Source organism: Homo sapiens, chromosome 4, assembly GCF_000001405.40.
Source record: "Homo sapiens chromosome 4, GRCh38.p14 Primary Assembly".
Classification (NCBI taxonomy): Eukaryota; Metazoa; Chordata; class Mammalia; order Primates; family Hominidae; genus Homo; species Homo sapiens.
In genome coordinates, this window is record NC_000004.12 from 167594482 (window position 1) to 167610552 (window position 16071).

Consider the following 16071-nt stretch of genomic DNA (forward strand, 5'->3'; position numbering starts at 1 on the left):
AAATTATCGTGATAAACTATGCACAATGACAGATTTCCTATCTGAGGACCAAGGTGTCAGAGTAGGACAGGGATCAGCAAACCATGGAAGACCCCTGTCACAACAGGAAACACATAGCTCTCAAAGCCTAAAATTTTACATCCTGGCTCTTTACAGAAAAAAATTTACTAACCCATGCAAAACACTCGATTTTTTTTGTTGTTGTTACATAGAAAAAGTTATCTAACATAAAGAAACATGGATAAATTATTTTACTGGGAGTGGGAAGTTATTCTAATTATGATTAAGAGTTCAGAGAATGTAAGGTAAGTGAGTGGTAATTTTGACGAAATAAAAATCAAAATGTTTTGCATGAAAAATGATAATAAATGAGAAAAATATTTTTTCAAGTGATATCACTGATAAAGAGTTAATATCTCCAATATGTAGACTCCAAAAATAAAGAAGGAAAAGACCAATACATTCTAAGCAAGAAAAACAGCAAAAGATATAAATAAAGAAACGTTTATTATTGCACATAAAAATTATCAACCTTGCATATAATTAAATAAACGCAAATTAAAACTGCACTGAAATATGATGTCTTACCTATCAAATTACCCATTTGTCCCTATACTCTTCTAGGGTTTTGGCTAATACCCTTGGTAGGTTCTCAGCCAACAAATACTGTGAACCACCAGCCTCAAGATCACTCTAGCCTTCAACATCTTGTATTCTAGCTAAGAGCCCAGGTATTAAGAAAAGGGACAAGCTACCCTACTGTCACCTCTCAACTTTCTGTCCCATACAATCCAAGAGCATAATACTATAGGTCAAGTATCGCTTATCTGAAACACTTTGGACCAAAAGTGTTTCAGATTTTGAATTTTTTTCAGATTTTGAAATAATTGCATATACATAGTGAGATATATTGGGGATGGAACCTAAGTCTAAACATATCATTTATTTTTTATAGACATCATACACACATAGACTTAAAGTAATTGTATATGCTATATTTAATAACTGTGTACACAAAACGAAGTTTGTGTCCACTGAACCATCAGAAAGCAAAGGTATCCCTATTTTAGTCACCCATGTGGACAATTTGTAGTTGTTGGACATCATCATCATTCCTGACTTGTAGTTTATAAGCTACTCATAAGCAATCATTTGCCTGCACGTATTCACACATAAGTACTATAAGTAAAAATAATGACACACTATTAGTAAAGTGAAAAATTCAGCAGCACAGCAGCAGCACCAGAACCCCTGTACCAGCTGGTAGACAACAGCCATAACCATCAACAGCAGGTTTGCAGTTCCCACCTACAATCCTGTGTTTTGATTAAAAGGTTGTCGTACACTGCATGTTAATTGTTTTAGGTGATAAGAAATATCGGCAGCAGTTGAGGAAAAAGAAAGTGTGTCCCCTAGGGATAAGAAGGCATTCTATCAGATGGCTTTTTAAAATGTGTCTTTTAGAGTCGTCTGCCTCATTAACAATGGTATTTGTCTTAGAAGTCTCTCTCTGATTTCATAAACTGACATGGTTTCTTGTCCTATCATACATACATACTGCTCTAGTGCTTCGTAAGCACATCACACATTTTTTTGCCATGTCATCTATAGGCACTTTTCCTGCAGTGTTAATGACATCATCTTCATAGTTGTGTGCCTGCATTCTGACTGTGACCCATCGCATGAGGTTAGGTGTGGAGTTTTCCACTTGTGGAGTCATGTCAGTGTTCAAAAAGTTCTGGGTTTTGGAGCATTTTGAATTACAGATTTTTGGATTTAGGGATGCTCAAACTATAACAGTTTTACACCAATAAATTTCTAGTACTTTTTTATGAAGTCATAGTAATTGGATATTATATTTCCAAAAGTATATCAAGAAAAATCTTGAGGTAAAAACTTTAAAAAATAAATTAATATAGGCACCTAAAATATAAGTACCATATTCTGAATTAGGCTAAAATAGTATTTCCACATAGCAACAATTTTCTAGTGGAACATAAATTATACACCACTGTAAATGATACATCACTAGAATCTGATGCTATAAAGGCAATATCTTAAAATATGGGAAAATAAAGATGAAAGTAATCCTAAAGATTATCTTCCTTTAGATTTCTTATTTTACTTAACAGTAAAATAAGAAACAGTAAATGTGAAAAAAATTTCTAAAAAATCCTCCTGCTTTTTTATAGTAGTTTTTAAATGAAAGCAATATTATCCTGTATAATTGATATTAAATTTTTTTATAGAAACAGTCACCTAGGCAACAAAACCCCATAAAATAATATAACAATTTGGGATATGTTTTTCATCTTTCTTCTTAAGAATAAGCCAAGAAAAATAGTTTTTGATTTTAAGATGTTAGTGGGGTCATTGTTAGAATAATATGATTTAGAAAATAATAACACATATATTTAATAGAAATAAGCTTCTGAAAGAAGGGAAGATGCATTTCAAAACATTCCGTCTTTGTAGATGGAAAGTCTTGGATAACCACGATGTGAAACAAACCAATGCTAGAAATTTAATTCTTCAGCATGGAGGAAGATCATAAGGATACAAATATAAGCAAGATACCTACTTTTGCACGGTGATAAACACAATTCTCAATAACGCATAAAATGTCATAATGGAGTTATAGTATTATTTATAATTAAAACAGGAGCATGGAAATTATGTTGTTTATTTATAAAAGAAAATGATAAATTATAATATATACAGGAAAGTTTACTTTTCTTACTCAGCTCAAACTAAGTCAGCAGAGATCAGGATCTTGATAACATTACTTATATGACCTTCAGATGTCTGGCTGCCCTCTTGGTTGATGGGGTAACTGGGCCACATGTTTGCAGATTACTCAGGTTAGCCTGTCTTTTTTTCACATGGTGGTGGTCTAAGACTTTCTAATATCATCAAGTTGACAAGTCGTAATATGCATGTACTCTACAAATCTCTGCTCCTGTCCCAGTGGTAATGCATCATTGGCCAAAGCAAGTCGTATGGCCAACCCAGAGCCATCATTATGTCTTTCTGGGAGGTCAAAATTTGTAGTCAATTTTACAACCCACAACAGCTCAGTTTTTGGCTACATATATTTATACTTCTCCTGTAAGCAAAGTAACCCAACACAAAATAACTCAAAATAAATTCCATGCTCCTGTAGGCAACATTCCCCAACACGGGACTCTCTCATTTAATCAAATATGGCATGAGAGTTGCAATCTGGATGCATATGAGGATGCTCTTGATGTGGAGGCCTATGGGTAAGTGACCTTTTATAACATACTCAACAGGCTAGACAGGCACGGGAACACCTGATATGCATTCTTATTCAGATAGAAGAACAAAGGGAGTCACATAGTCACTGGCCACAGCAATTCCAAAGTCTTGCTAGGAAAATATTGCCAGGGCTCTCTATACTGGGGACAGGAAATATTCTATGAGTATGGCCTAGCGATAATCCCTGGAAATAGGCCCCCGTCCACTAACCTTTTTACATCCCTCAGAATATTTTCCAGTGTCATATTTTTCTGTTCCTTGGGAGTGCCTCTCTATTTAAATGTTCACCACTGCCCATGATTTAGCTTTTTGTATTTTGTTCTCTCCCTTCTGAGATATACTTCATATTTCATAAGGCATAGACCATCTTGGCAACTGTGGTAAATTAAAGAAGGCAGTAAATTCTTTGCCACCTTTCCCACCTATTTGCTTTCTTCTGGAATTTGTGCTGGCCCTTGGGACTAGATTTGATTAATAGAGTGTGGCAGAAGAGATGTTTAACCCTGGGCATGGGCTGTAAGACATACACAGCTTCTGCTTTTTTCCTACATAGTACAATCCCTCTCAGAAATCAGATGCCATGTAAGAAGTCCAACTATACTGAGATAACCTGTAAGGAAGGCCAAGTTAACCATATAGAGATAGAGGCCACTGTAGGAGCGAGGTGCCAGACATGTAGGGAAAGCTTTATTGGATCTTTCAGGCCACTACAGCTTCCTGCTGAATGCAATCAAATGAATGACCCCAGTTAACAGAACATACAGCAGACTAAACATCCAGCTAACCCAGTCCTAAGTCTTGACCCACAAAATCAAGGGTTAATTAGAGTAAATTAAGTTTGAGCAATTCATTGCATAGAAATAGATAACAACAAGAACAGCAGCAAAAAAAATGGGTAGCATTCTCAATATGCTTGCTGCTTATGAAAAGTTAGAGGCCTAGAAACTTCTTTTTAAAGAATTATATTCTTTTGTATGCCAAGATTGTGATAATTTAATTAGCACAATTCTTTAAAAGCTTTATCCCCTGTCTATGAATATGATCTAGGTGCATGTTTATTGCTTCAAGGCGAAATCTGTGATTCTTTTGAAGACAGGTGGTGCTCTAAGACTTTCTCTACAAGAGATGTATCAATCTTCAGTAGGAAAAAACACACATACAATTCTGAGAAGCCCTCTTCTTTAGTTGAAGGGTCTTAGGCACTAACTTAAATCTAATAGAAATTTTTAAAAAGATCTTGAAATTTTTTCTGCACCCCTAGACCTTGTTTTACTTTTTGTTTGGGGAGATTTTTACTGACCAAAGACTCTGAAGATAACAAACAGATTCATTTGTTAACTCGGTGCTTCTCTATTTCCTCTAAATTCTGCTTGCAAACTGAATAGTTTATTCTTTAGCTCATCTCTTTTTGTATCTTTTCATAGACAGCTAAAATAGATCAATTGATACTTCATATATTTATTTGGCCTAGAAATCATCTTTCCAAAGTGGCTAAGTTTATTGGTCAATTTTATATCTTTCCTGTTACTGTACTTGACAGCTGCATTTTTCTGCAACTACAAATACAGTCACCAAACTGCTGTAATAATTTATGTATTATTATTCTTCGCTCTTTCTAAATGGTTAGTATATCATTTTGTTTTGCTACACTAACAGTTTTCCAGACACTTTTTTCTGCCTCATCCAACTTTCTCATCCCCAAATCAGTGTTGTTTTATGTTTTTATTATGACAGTGCCTGATTTCTAAGTACTAACTTCTTTAGCAGTCAAGAAAGCAGGAATACTATGAGCATTATAGAGATACAGTACACAGTAAAGGAATTAACCTTGAAAAATGATGACTGAAGCTGAGGAAGTAAAGTTTTGGAAGCGGAAATCCAAGAGTCACTACTGAATTCAACTGAAATACTCACAAAGGTGGACATGTCAGAGTTTGCAAGCTAATAATGCAAGAAGTCAAGCATACCCAGTTACAAAAGTGGGGCAACAGAAGGGGAATTCATGGAGATGTCTATGTGCCTTTGTAGCTTCTGCTTACAAGTTTCAAAACCCAGTATCTGGTGGTGGGTATGAGACTGCTTCATCCAACAGGATTAACACATGGAGCAGAGGAGAATTAAGAAAATCCACTGGGCACCTCTTTGTCTGTACATAACCATATGTGACTATGACAAGTTTGCAGGAGCAATTGTTGTTCCATCTGCTCTTCTGGATCTTGCCTTAGTTTCTCTTTTGACCAATAATAATCGACTCCAGGTGAGGAGATTCTGGAGAAAGCATAGCCCTTGTTTCAATCACGTTAAAAGCACAATCCAACACAGACTCGTATGGCTCCATTTTTAATGTTTGGATCTCCTATCCATTCAGAATATATTTTGGGGTATGATGTGAGGTATTGGGTACATTTTATATTTTGATGTAAATATGTACTAGAAAGTATTTATTTTGACCACAAATTTTAGATGCTATTGATATATTATGTATAGTATGGTATATCACATATACCGTATTTTCATTATTTGGGGATTATTTTATATTTTTCCATTGGCCCATCCTCTATTTATAAGGCAGTGTTACAATGTCTTAATTGTAGAATTTTATTGTTTGTTTTAATATCTAATAGGACGAGCTTCTACTTTCAAACACACACACACAGCTGCTCTTTGAATCAAGAATTTGTATTCATGCTACTAGATTCCTGGACAGAGCTCTTCAGCACCACACACACTATCTATAATCTGACCACGAAGATCCAGACTTGGAGCAAACTGACAAAAGAAGATCTGATCTCTGTATCTCAAACACCAACAAGGTGTTCAGGAGAAAAATGAAATAGAGAAAAAGAACTAGAAATAAAATTTCAGTTATTATTTAGCTTAATGAGTGCCTGTCAATCCAAAAAAAAAAAAAGCATTGATCAGATTTAAGGGACGTATATAAGACTGATGTCCCTCAGTAAATTCTAGCTCTTTTAACTTTGACTGAAATATTGAGTGGGCACTTAACTCCATTGAGCATAGAAGATGAGTTTCAGAAATAAAGTAGATGATGCTTGTGCTACATCATTTAATAAAACTAAATCAGACTACGTCAATTTGTTGGTGGCTTTAACAACATACTAATATAGTAAAGCACAGACCACATTGAAATGAAATAAACTCATATATTACCACTAAGAAATACATATTTTCTTGGACTCTAAGTATTTCTTCCCTCTGAAACCACTGAACTAATTTAGTCTTTAGTATAAGACTAAACAAGCATGTCTACTCAGAGATGACTCTACTAGAATTCTCTTTCTGTTGAATGTGAGTACATATGATTCTAGGAATAAATTTTTTAAAAAAGTGATAAAAAATATGGAAAATAAATCTCTCTAAACCCAACACAAACTCCAAGGTTTTCTCAGCTCTTCTGGAGTTTCTATTCTTGCTCCCCTTTCCTGTACATGTGGACCTTATTCAATCTAGTGATTAAAGCACATACATGTGACTACCATCTAGGTTTTTCACTGTGATATTACTTCCTAATATTGCAGAATCTTCCCAACATGAATTTGAACCATCTTAATCTCAGAGTTGTCTTCAGAACTTTGGACATGACTGTCATGTCCCCAAATCAGATTTTCTGGAAACACTGTGAACTTTATAATTAAGTCCAATGTTGGCAAGACCCCTGTTTTCCATCTAACAGTTTAAAATATATTCTCTGCCCTCACTTTCAAAACTGTTTGAAGTACATAAAACATTGCTGAATGTTCTCCGTAATATTTTTGTTTCCCATTTCAAAACAACTATTTCCCAGTTTTTGTAAAATTGTTCATTTCTTAGCTCCTCCTTAGCCTTTATTTAATCCATACACTCTTAAATCTTTGCTTGGATCAATAAGATTCAATACCAAATGAAAATAGCCTTCATCCTGGCCAACATAGTGAAACCCCATCTCTACTAAAAATACAAAAATTTAGCCGGGCATAGTGGCGGGTGCCTGTAATCCCAGCTACTAGGGAGGTTGAAGCAGGAGAACTGCTTGAACCTGGGAGGCGGAGGTTGCAGTGAGCTGAGATTGCGCCATTGCACTCCAGCCAGGGTGACAGAACGAGACACCATCTCAAAAAAAAAAAAAACAAAAAAAAAAAGCAGCCTTATGTTTATTTTCCAGCCTAATATTTTAATGCCTCTCTGAGATACATGTACTTCAGAAAAAGTTGAAGCCATTTTTCTAAGCTTCTAATTTCCTATTTTGAGTAACCTGAGGATCAAGAAAAACTGTAGGAAACCTGTTTTCTTAATTCCCTCCATTACCTTCTTCCTTTCTTCCATGTAATCTAAGTTGTTTTTGGTAGAACTTTAAAAATTTATGTAATGAAAATGATTTCATGAATTTTGGACACCGTGAAGAACTTGGACATGACCAAAGTTCATCAGAAAAGTTTAGGCATGAACTCAATATTAGCTTCCCAAATAAGAGAATATTAAACCGAACACTGATTCCATGTCATGAATATTTCTCTCTATGTGGAATATGCTGACTCACTCAGTCAGATTCTATCTAATAAAGTCCAGGAGGATGCTGCCTGCGTGTATAAGCATGTTGGCAACTTAAAGCTACTGTGTAAGCAGAATTATTTTGAAAGGTAATTATATTCATTGACAGCCTAAACAGGACATAGAGTCATGCCAGGTAGAAAATATTGCATTATTAAACATCTGCAGCAAGAACTACATGAGAGACATCAATTGTACTTGACTCATAGTATCCTCAGGAGTCTGGGTTTTGGTATCTTTGGTTTGATTTTGATGTCATATAGGGAATGAATGTTACTTATAACTTGGGCCATTTTTGGAATCCTTGATTAAGGCAGTCCAACAAAATATGCAGCAGCAATTATGTTAACATTTAACATGTTTTCATTATAACAGATTGTAAAACACCAAAATGTCCTCAAGTATATTTATAGATACATGTAACTCTAGGTTCAACTGTGTGTGTGTGCGTGTGTGTGTGTGTGTTCTTAGCAAGTCGAAACTTCAAATAAGTAAATAGGGAGGCAATTATTTATTGGATTTCTAGAATATAGACCAAAGAGCTAATATTATTGCACTTAGATAATATGGATTTTTGAAAAGAATAACCTTAGAGGAATAGCCTGAATATTTTACTCCAATTTTAAGGCAAATGAATGTTAAATCTCAACTAAATACCCCACACATGCACAATCAGGTCTCTGAAAAGATAAGGATAACATAATTAAACCACAATTCTCAAAATTGGCATACCCTTTATTTAAACTAATGATGGTTTAATTCTAATGTAGTAAATATTAACCATTTTTTTTGTGAAACAACACATTTTATCAAAGTAATAGTCATTTTATTAGTTTGCTTAGCTATTGCAAAGTTGCATATACATTAAAACCAGAATTCTAGCTCTAGAGTGACTCTAGGATACTTTCAAAAAGGTTGTTCATTTCGCAATGCCATTTAAATTTCAACAGCTAGATTTGAGCATTTGGTATTTTTAGAGAGCAACGGTCATGAAAATTCTAAAAGCTTAAAAGAGAACATACCAATTACAATTCTAAAGTTATTTCTAACATGTCTCCTACTTCGTTATTTTTGCCCTCAGCAAGCAAAAAATAATGATGTACAAAGAATATCTCAGAAAATTAATATATAGCCTTCTTAAATAATTTTCAGTGCATTTGGCATTTTATTTTATATTAAATTTATTCTAAAATCATCTAATGCTTATTTTTTATCCCATTTTGTAGCCATAATACTATTTTTACCCAATAGTTGTCATATTAACAGCACAATAATATGAATAACATCATGCTAATGTCATTAATTGAGAGGAGGTATCTGTGAGCATTTGGGGACTAGGATGGAAGGAGTTTTGTAGGAGAAAATGAAGACCTTGTCCTTAGACATGTTAGGTTTTTGATGCTTAGTTGAACGTAGCAAACCAACTTCCTTTACAAAAAACAAATCAATGAGGTAATCTCTAGTTCTTTTCATCATTCATCTCTGCTGAAATAATTCCTTCTCAGTGATGTGACTTCATTACTCTCTCTTATCTTTATTTTCATCATAGCAATTAACACTATCTGAAATTACATCACTTACTTATCTACTTATTTTTGGTTGCCTCTCACTGGAATACAGTCTCCATGAAGATAATCTATTTTGTCTTCTGCTATATTCTCAGAATATAGAATAGTATTTGAGACATAGTAAGCATGCAATAAATATTTGTTGAATAGATAATGATTAGATGAATTTCAGATATTACTTCAATTACCTCTGGCAATTTGTTTGCAGGACACCAAATCTAGAGTTTGCTGGTAAGTCCAATCAGCTCTTAAACAGAACATAGCTATTGCTTTAATAGTTTGTTGCTTGGGATATATATACATATCTAACATATATATGTGTATATATATGTGTGTGTGTGTGTGTGTGTGTGTGTGTATATATATATATAGTAGAAAAAGGGCCACAGATAATAAGTTTTATTCTTTTATCACTTTGAGATAGGTTCAATGATTAGTTCTCTGTACTTTAATAGTAACATTCAACAGTAAACAAGCACTCTCAGGGGAAAGAGATACTTCTCACAGGTATTTAGTAAGCATAATATATCCTATTTTTGCCATGTGTATACATTGTGTCACAGAAAAGATGACTGCAAATTTTAGTTTTGCTTACTTAATAAAATAGACAATCATAAAACTTTGTATTTAATTTACCTCTCAATGAGAAAGAATAAACTATATGTGGCATGATGAGTTATTAGAAAGTATCAGGCTTATAAGTGGGAATTTAACTCACTTTGCCATACCTTCCATAATCATGCCTATATGTATACAAAAGGTCTCAGATTGTTGTCCAGCTGAAAAATTACAAAAGTGCTTAATCCACAGAGCAAAAAAAAAACTATGACCATTTTAGTAATAGTTTTGTAGTCATGCTGTATTGTTTCAGGAAAAATGACAAGAAGAAAAAGGTTTGTACATGTTCAATACTGGCAAAATCATTCATTTTCCTTTTGTTAAGGTCACAAATGGTGAATATCAAAAGAGGATATAATAAAACCATAAGAAATACAAATTCTTACAAATGTCTAAATATTCCCCATTTACTCCAGGGACTTGATAGTTATCTTAAAGACAGAATAGTTTAAGCCAGTTAGTTGGACTATAGACATTGTTCTTGTCTACTCCAATAGTTCTTAGCTTTTTGGCACTCAAAATAATGTCTCTCAATATCTGTGTGGGGTTGGTTTCAAAACCCCCATGATTACCAAAATCTACAGATGCTCAAGTTTCTTATATAAAATGATGTAGTATTTGCATATGACTTACCCACATTTTTCCACATACTTTAATCGTTAGATTAATTTTAATATCTAATACAATGTAAATTCTATAAAATAGCTGTTATGCTATATTGTTTAAGAAACAATGATAAGAAAAAAAGACTATACATGTTTAGCACTGGCAGAACCATGCTTTTTCCATTTTTTTCCTTTTATATTCTCCAAAAATTATAGTTTATTCTTTCTTATTAAGAGGCAAATGGAATGGGCAAATATTTTCAATCCACAGTTGGTTGAATCCATGGATGCGGAACCCATTGATAGGGAGGTCTGACTGTATATATTTTACAAAGATGTTTGACTCAAGTATAACACACACACATACACACACACACAATATACACACATGTACATATATTCTACTACAAATGTTCACGCACACATGTTCAGTATATAGAACCATGTATGTTTACATATGTATAACCCTGTGTACCACCATATGAAAGAAGATATAGGGCATTTTTTAGTATCACAGAATGATCCTTTATGTTCCTACCCAACAGACACCATCATCCACATACTGTGATTACTACTAGTCTTATTTCTCACATAGTAAAAATTTCATTTGTTTTTGAGCTTCATATTAATATAAATACAATAATAAAGTATATACATTAAAAAAACAGGTCTATGCAGGTATAATTTACATATAGTAAATCATCCTTTAAAGGTATACAGTTATGATTTTCACACACAGTCATGTAATCACCACCACAGATAAATAAGATATAAAGCATTTCACTGACCACCACAGTTCCCTCATTTGACTTTATAGGCAATACCCCTCCCTAAAATTCAAGTTCTAAAAAACACTGGCCTGTTGTTTACTCCTATGAGTTTGACTTTTCAAAATATATAAATGAAATCATATTATGTATAGCCTTTGAATCTCATAAGTCATGTGTGATTCATCCCAGTTGGTTGTATCAGTATTCTGTTTCTTTTTGTTAATGAGTAGCATTTAATTCTATGGATGCACCACAGTTTATCCTTTCACCATAGTTGATATACATTTGGATTCTCATTTTGGGTGATTATGAATAAAACATCTGCAGATATTCACCTACAGAATTGCATGGTGATGTATACTTTCATTTCTCTTGAGTTAAAACCTAGAAGAGAGCTTGTTAGGTCGTGTGGTAAATACATGTGCAATATATATGTGTAAATAAAAGACTGTTCTCTGAAGCAATAGACTTTTTTGCATTTTGCATCAATGATGCTTGATAAAGTTGCCCTTCATCTTCACCAGTATATAATAGTATACAATTGTAGTTTCAATTTTACTTTTCCAAATGAGTAGCGATGTTCAGGGGCATTTTACATCCTTAACTTCTATCTTTATATATTACTTAATAAAGTATCTGTTCAAATTTTTTATTGATTTTAATTGAACTGTTTGTCTTAGTGAGGTGTATGTTATCAATTAAGGGTGCTATAACAAATATAACACAAACCGCTTGACTTAAACAACAAATCATTTATTTCCCAGTGTCAAGGCTCGAGAGTTTCAAGATCAAAGTACTAGCAGATATAATCAATGTATGGTGAGGACTCACTTCCTGGTTTGCAGGTGGCCATCTGCTCTTTGCCTCCTTATATGGTGGCAAGGAGGGAGGGGGAGAGCGCATGCTGGAGGGAGGGGGAGACCACATCCTCATATGGTGGCAAGGAGGCCAGGGGGACAGAGAGAGAGAGAGAGAGAGAAGCCCCTCCTATGAGGGCATTAATCTTATTCACAAAGCTCAATGCTTACGACCTGTTTACCTTCCAAAGGCCCCACCTCCTAATGCCATCACATTGGTTAGGGTTTTAACAAATAAATTTTGGGGATACACACACATTCAGCCCATAATTTGTGATAGTTCTTTGTATATTCTGAATACAAATCCTTTCTCAGATATGCATTTTTTCGTTTTCTTACGTTTCAAAAATGAAACTTGAGATCAAGTGTAATAAATATTTTTTAAAATTTATATTGTGTTTTGGTGTGCTAAGAAAGCTTCAGTTTTCCCAAGGTCTCAATAAGTTTTGCAATGTGTTTTCTGGAAATTTTCGTATTTTAGTTTAGTTCTAGTTTTAAATCAATGATACAGTTCATGTTAATATGGAACTTGACACAAAGTTTGATTGAGTTTTATTTATTTTACTTGTAGGTGCCCAATTTTTTAGTGCCAATTTCCTTTAAAAAATCCTATCCCCATTAAATTCCTTTAGCAAATTTGTTAAAAATCAATTGAATTTTTTTAACTCTATTTTTACTTTTTATTATTTTTTACTCTCTACTCTGGCCATTGGTCTGTGTGTCTTTCTTTTGCCTTCATTTTTTAAAGCATTTTCACTGGCATTTTTGTTGATAAAATTTTGTTTTTCATTAACCACCTCAAAATGTCAGTTAAATGACACTCCGTTGTTTTCTGGCTTGCTTAATTTTGATGAGAAATTCTATAATTCTTATCTTTGTTCTTCTATATGAGATCTATCTTTTTTCTGTCTTCAAGATTGTTTTTTTGTATTTGATTTCCAGCAATTGGACCATGTCTAGAATTTTTTGTTATTAATGCTTTTGCTGTTGTTGCATTTGTTTCTTTTGAAACGATCTGTATTTTTTCAGTTTGATGTATTTTATGTATGATTCTTTTGAAAATTGTTTGCGGTTATCTATCCAAATATTCTGCTACCTTCCCTCTTTTTTTCTGTATCTTGAGTTACGCATATGTTAGATTTTTTGATATTATCCCACAGCTCTTGTTTGTTCTATCCTTTTTCTTTATGTTTTAAGCCCTTTTTGGTTGTGTTCTATTTTCTTATTTTTCAATTTTGGTAATTTCTATTAACATGTCTTCAATTTCATCCATTATTTTCTTAACTGTCTTAAGTTCATTTATGAGCCCAGATAAATAATTATTCTTCATACTTTGCTAAATTTTATAATTTTCATTTTATACTTTCTTTTTTTTCTCTCTCTCTTTTTTATGAGATGGAGTCTCGCTCTGTCACCCAGGCTGGAGTGCAATGGTGCAATCTCTGCTCACTGCAACCTCCACCTCCCAGGCTCAAGTGATTCTTCTGCCTCAGCCTCCTGAGTAGCTGAGATTACAGGTATGAGCCACCACCACCACACCCAGCTAATTTTTATATTTTTAGTAGAGATGGGGATTTGCCATGTTGGCCAGGCTGGTTTCGAACTCCTGACCTCAGAGGATCCACCCACCTCAGCCTCCCAAAGTGCTGGGATTCTGTACAGGCATGAGCCACAGCACGAAGCCTTTTTTTGGGGGGGATGGGGTCTCACTCTAGCCCAAGCTGGAGTGCAGTTGCACGATCTTGGCTCACTGCAAGCTCCGCCTCTGGGGCTCAAATGATTCTCATGCCTCAGCCTCCCAAGTAGCTGGGACTATAGGTGTGCATCACCACATCCAGCTAATTTTTTGTATTTTAGTAGAGACGGGGTTTCACCATGTTGCCCAGGGTGGTCTCAAACTCCTGAGCTCAGGCAATCCACCGGCCTTAGCCTCCCAAAGTGCTGGGATTATAGGCATGAGCCACTGCGCCCAGCCAATACTTTCTTATAATTTCCATTTATCCTCTAAAATTTTCCCATCTGTTTATGGATGTTGTCCCCTTTAACATATTAGTCATTGTTATTTTAAAATACTTTGTCAAATAATTTCAGCACCTCGGTCATCTCTGTGTCTTGTTATATCTATTGTTTTTATCCTCATTATTTTTAAGCCTATTTTGTGTGTGCGTTTAAATTTTTTATTAAATCCTGGATATTAGGTGTAGAACTGTAGAAACTGAAGTAAATCATATTAACACCTGAAAATAGGTACATTTCTTCTCTCAGACATTCACCTTGGTGGTTTGGGTGAATCTAGTCAGGACTTTGCAGGGGTGATATTTTGTTGTTGCTGTGCTTAACTCCTGCTGTCGTATGGTAGATACATATGTAATATATATAGCTGCCATTACTTTGAGTTTGAAGTGAAAGCAGGGATGCTGGAATATTTTTCTTAGTGTTTTACACTCAGCTTTTGCTTCTATTTGCATGTCTTTAACATAAAGGGAGTTTCCCTGTATGCTCTTGCCCCTCTGAAAACAATATGCTTTTATTACTTGCTACTTGATGATTATTAGGCTGGTGTTAGGTGGCCAACATGGTTGTTCCTTGTTTTAGTCAAGCCATAGTCTTAGGGCTTGAGAATGCCATTTATTTATTGTCCCTCTCCTGATCCCTGTGGTAGATAAATGCTACCCCTTATCTGTGCCAGATCTTGTATATGAGGGAGTTTCTTGCATCTCCCATATTAGTAGAAGATTTTTAATGGTACTGGTATAAGGTCCAGGCAGGGCACAGTGGCTCATGCCTGTAATCCTAGCACTTTGGGAGGCTGAGGTGGGTGGATCATCTGAGGTCATGAGTTCGAGACCAGCCTGACCGACATGGAGAAACCCCATCTCTACTAAAAATACAAAAGTAGCCGGGCATGGTGCCACACACCTGTAATCCCAGCTACTCAGGAGGCTGAGGCAGGAGAATCACTTGAACTTGGGAGGTGTGGAGGTTGTGGTGAGCCAAGATCATGCCATTGCCCTCCAGCCTGGGCAACAAGAGCAAAACTCCATCTCAAAAAAAAAAAAAAAGATATTGGGTCCAGGATTGTTTCCTATTTTGCTTTCTTTTTGGTCTATACTTCTGCTAGCCACGGTCAATCTTTTCCTATGTTCTGAGGGTGAGACGGCTTGCTGTCAGTTTCCCAGCATTTTAAGCCTTTTGCTCTGTATGAGAGTAGGGTCTAGGCAGGTGGCTGAGGTTTTTGTGCCCTTCAACCATCAGCTTCCAGTTATCTATTTTACACCAGGACCATAGACAGAAGTTCTCTCTGGTCTCCTGTACACCTGCCAGTCTTTCTACTGAGCACCTTACAGTTTCATAGAAAAGAATCCATAGGTGAATGTGAAGTCTCCTTGTGTGGGGGGCTTTGTTACATTTTTTATTTTCATCTCTATTAATATCCTGAATGTGAGCAGATGAGCTCTTGGATCTGAGACAAGTTTCTTGTTAGCCAGCTTATAGTAAATAATAAGTGTGCCAGTCCCTCTTTCCATAGACATTACCCTTTGTGCAATGAGATAAAAGCAAGAGGGGAAACTCTCCTGCATTACTAGTCAAACACCCCATAGGCAAGGGGTAAAGAACAATGGACTCTCTCAATTTATAGGTGATAAGAGACACAGGTCCCCTTCTCCTCCACAAAAGAAAGAATACAATAATATAAAAACTTTTGCTCCTTAAAATTAAATGGAAATCATCCTGAATCCTCACTCTTACTTTTACAAGGTAAAGACATCTTTCTATGGGCCAGTTAACCCCAAGAATCTCTGGCTTCTACAACCTACAGCCATCT

General features: G+C 35.0%; 1 annotated feature.

Annotated features, from left to right (window-relative positions):
- Window positions 13033–13202: an enhancer, noted in NCBI's record as "experimental_76084 CRE fragment used in MPRA reporter constructs". NCBI's record gives its function as "activates a minimal promoter by MPRAs in K562 erythroleukemia cells, with activity observed for both the introgressed and non-introgressed 4:168528750 variant alleles {active_cell/tissue: K562}" and the evidence as "EXISTENCE:reporter gene assay evidence [ECO:0000049][PMID:34662402]".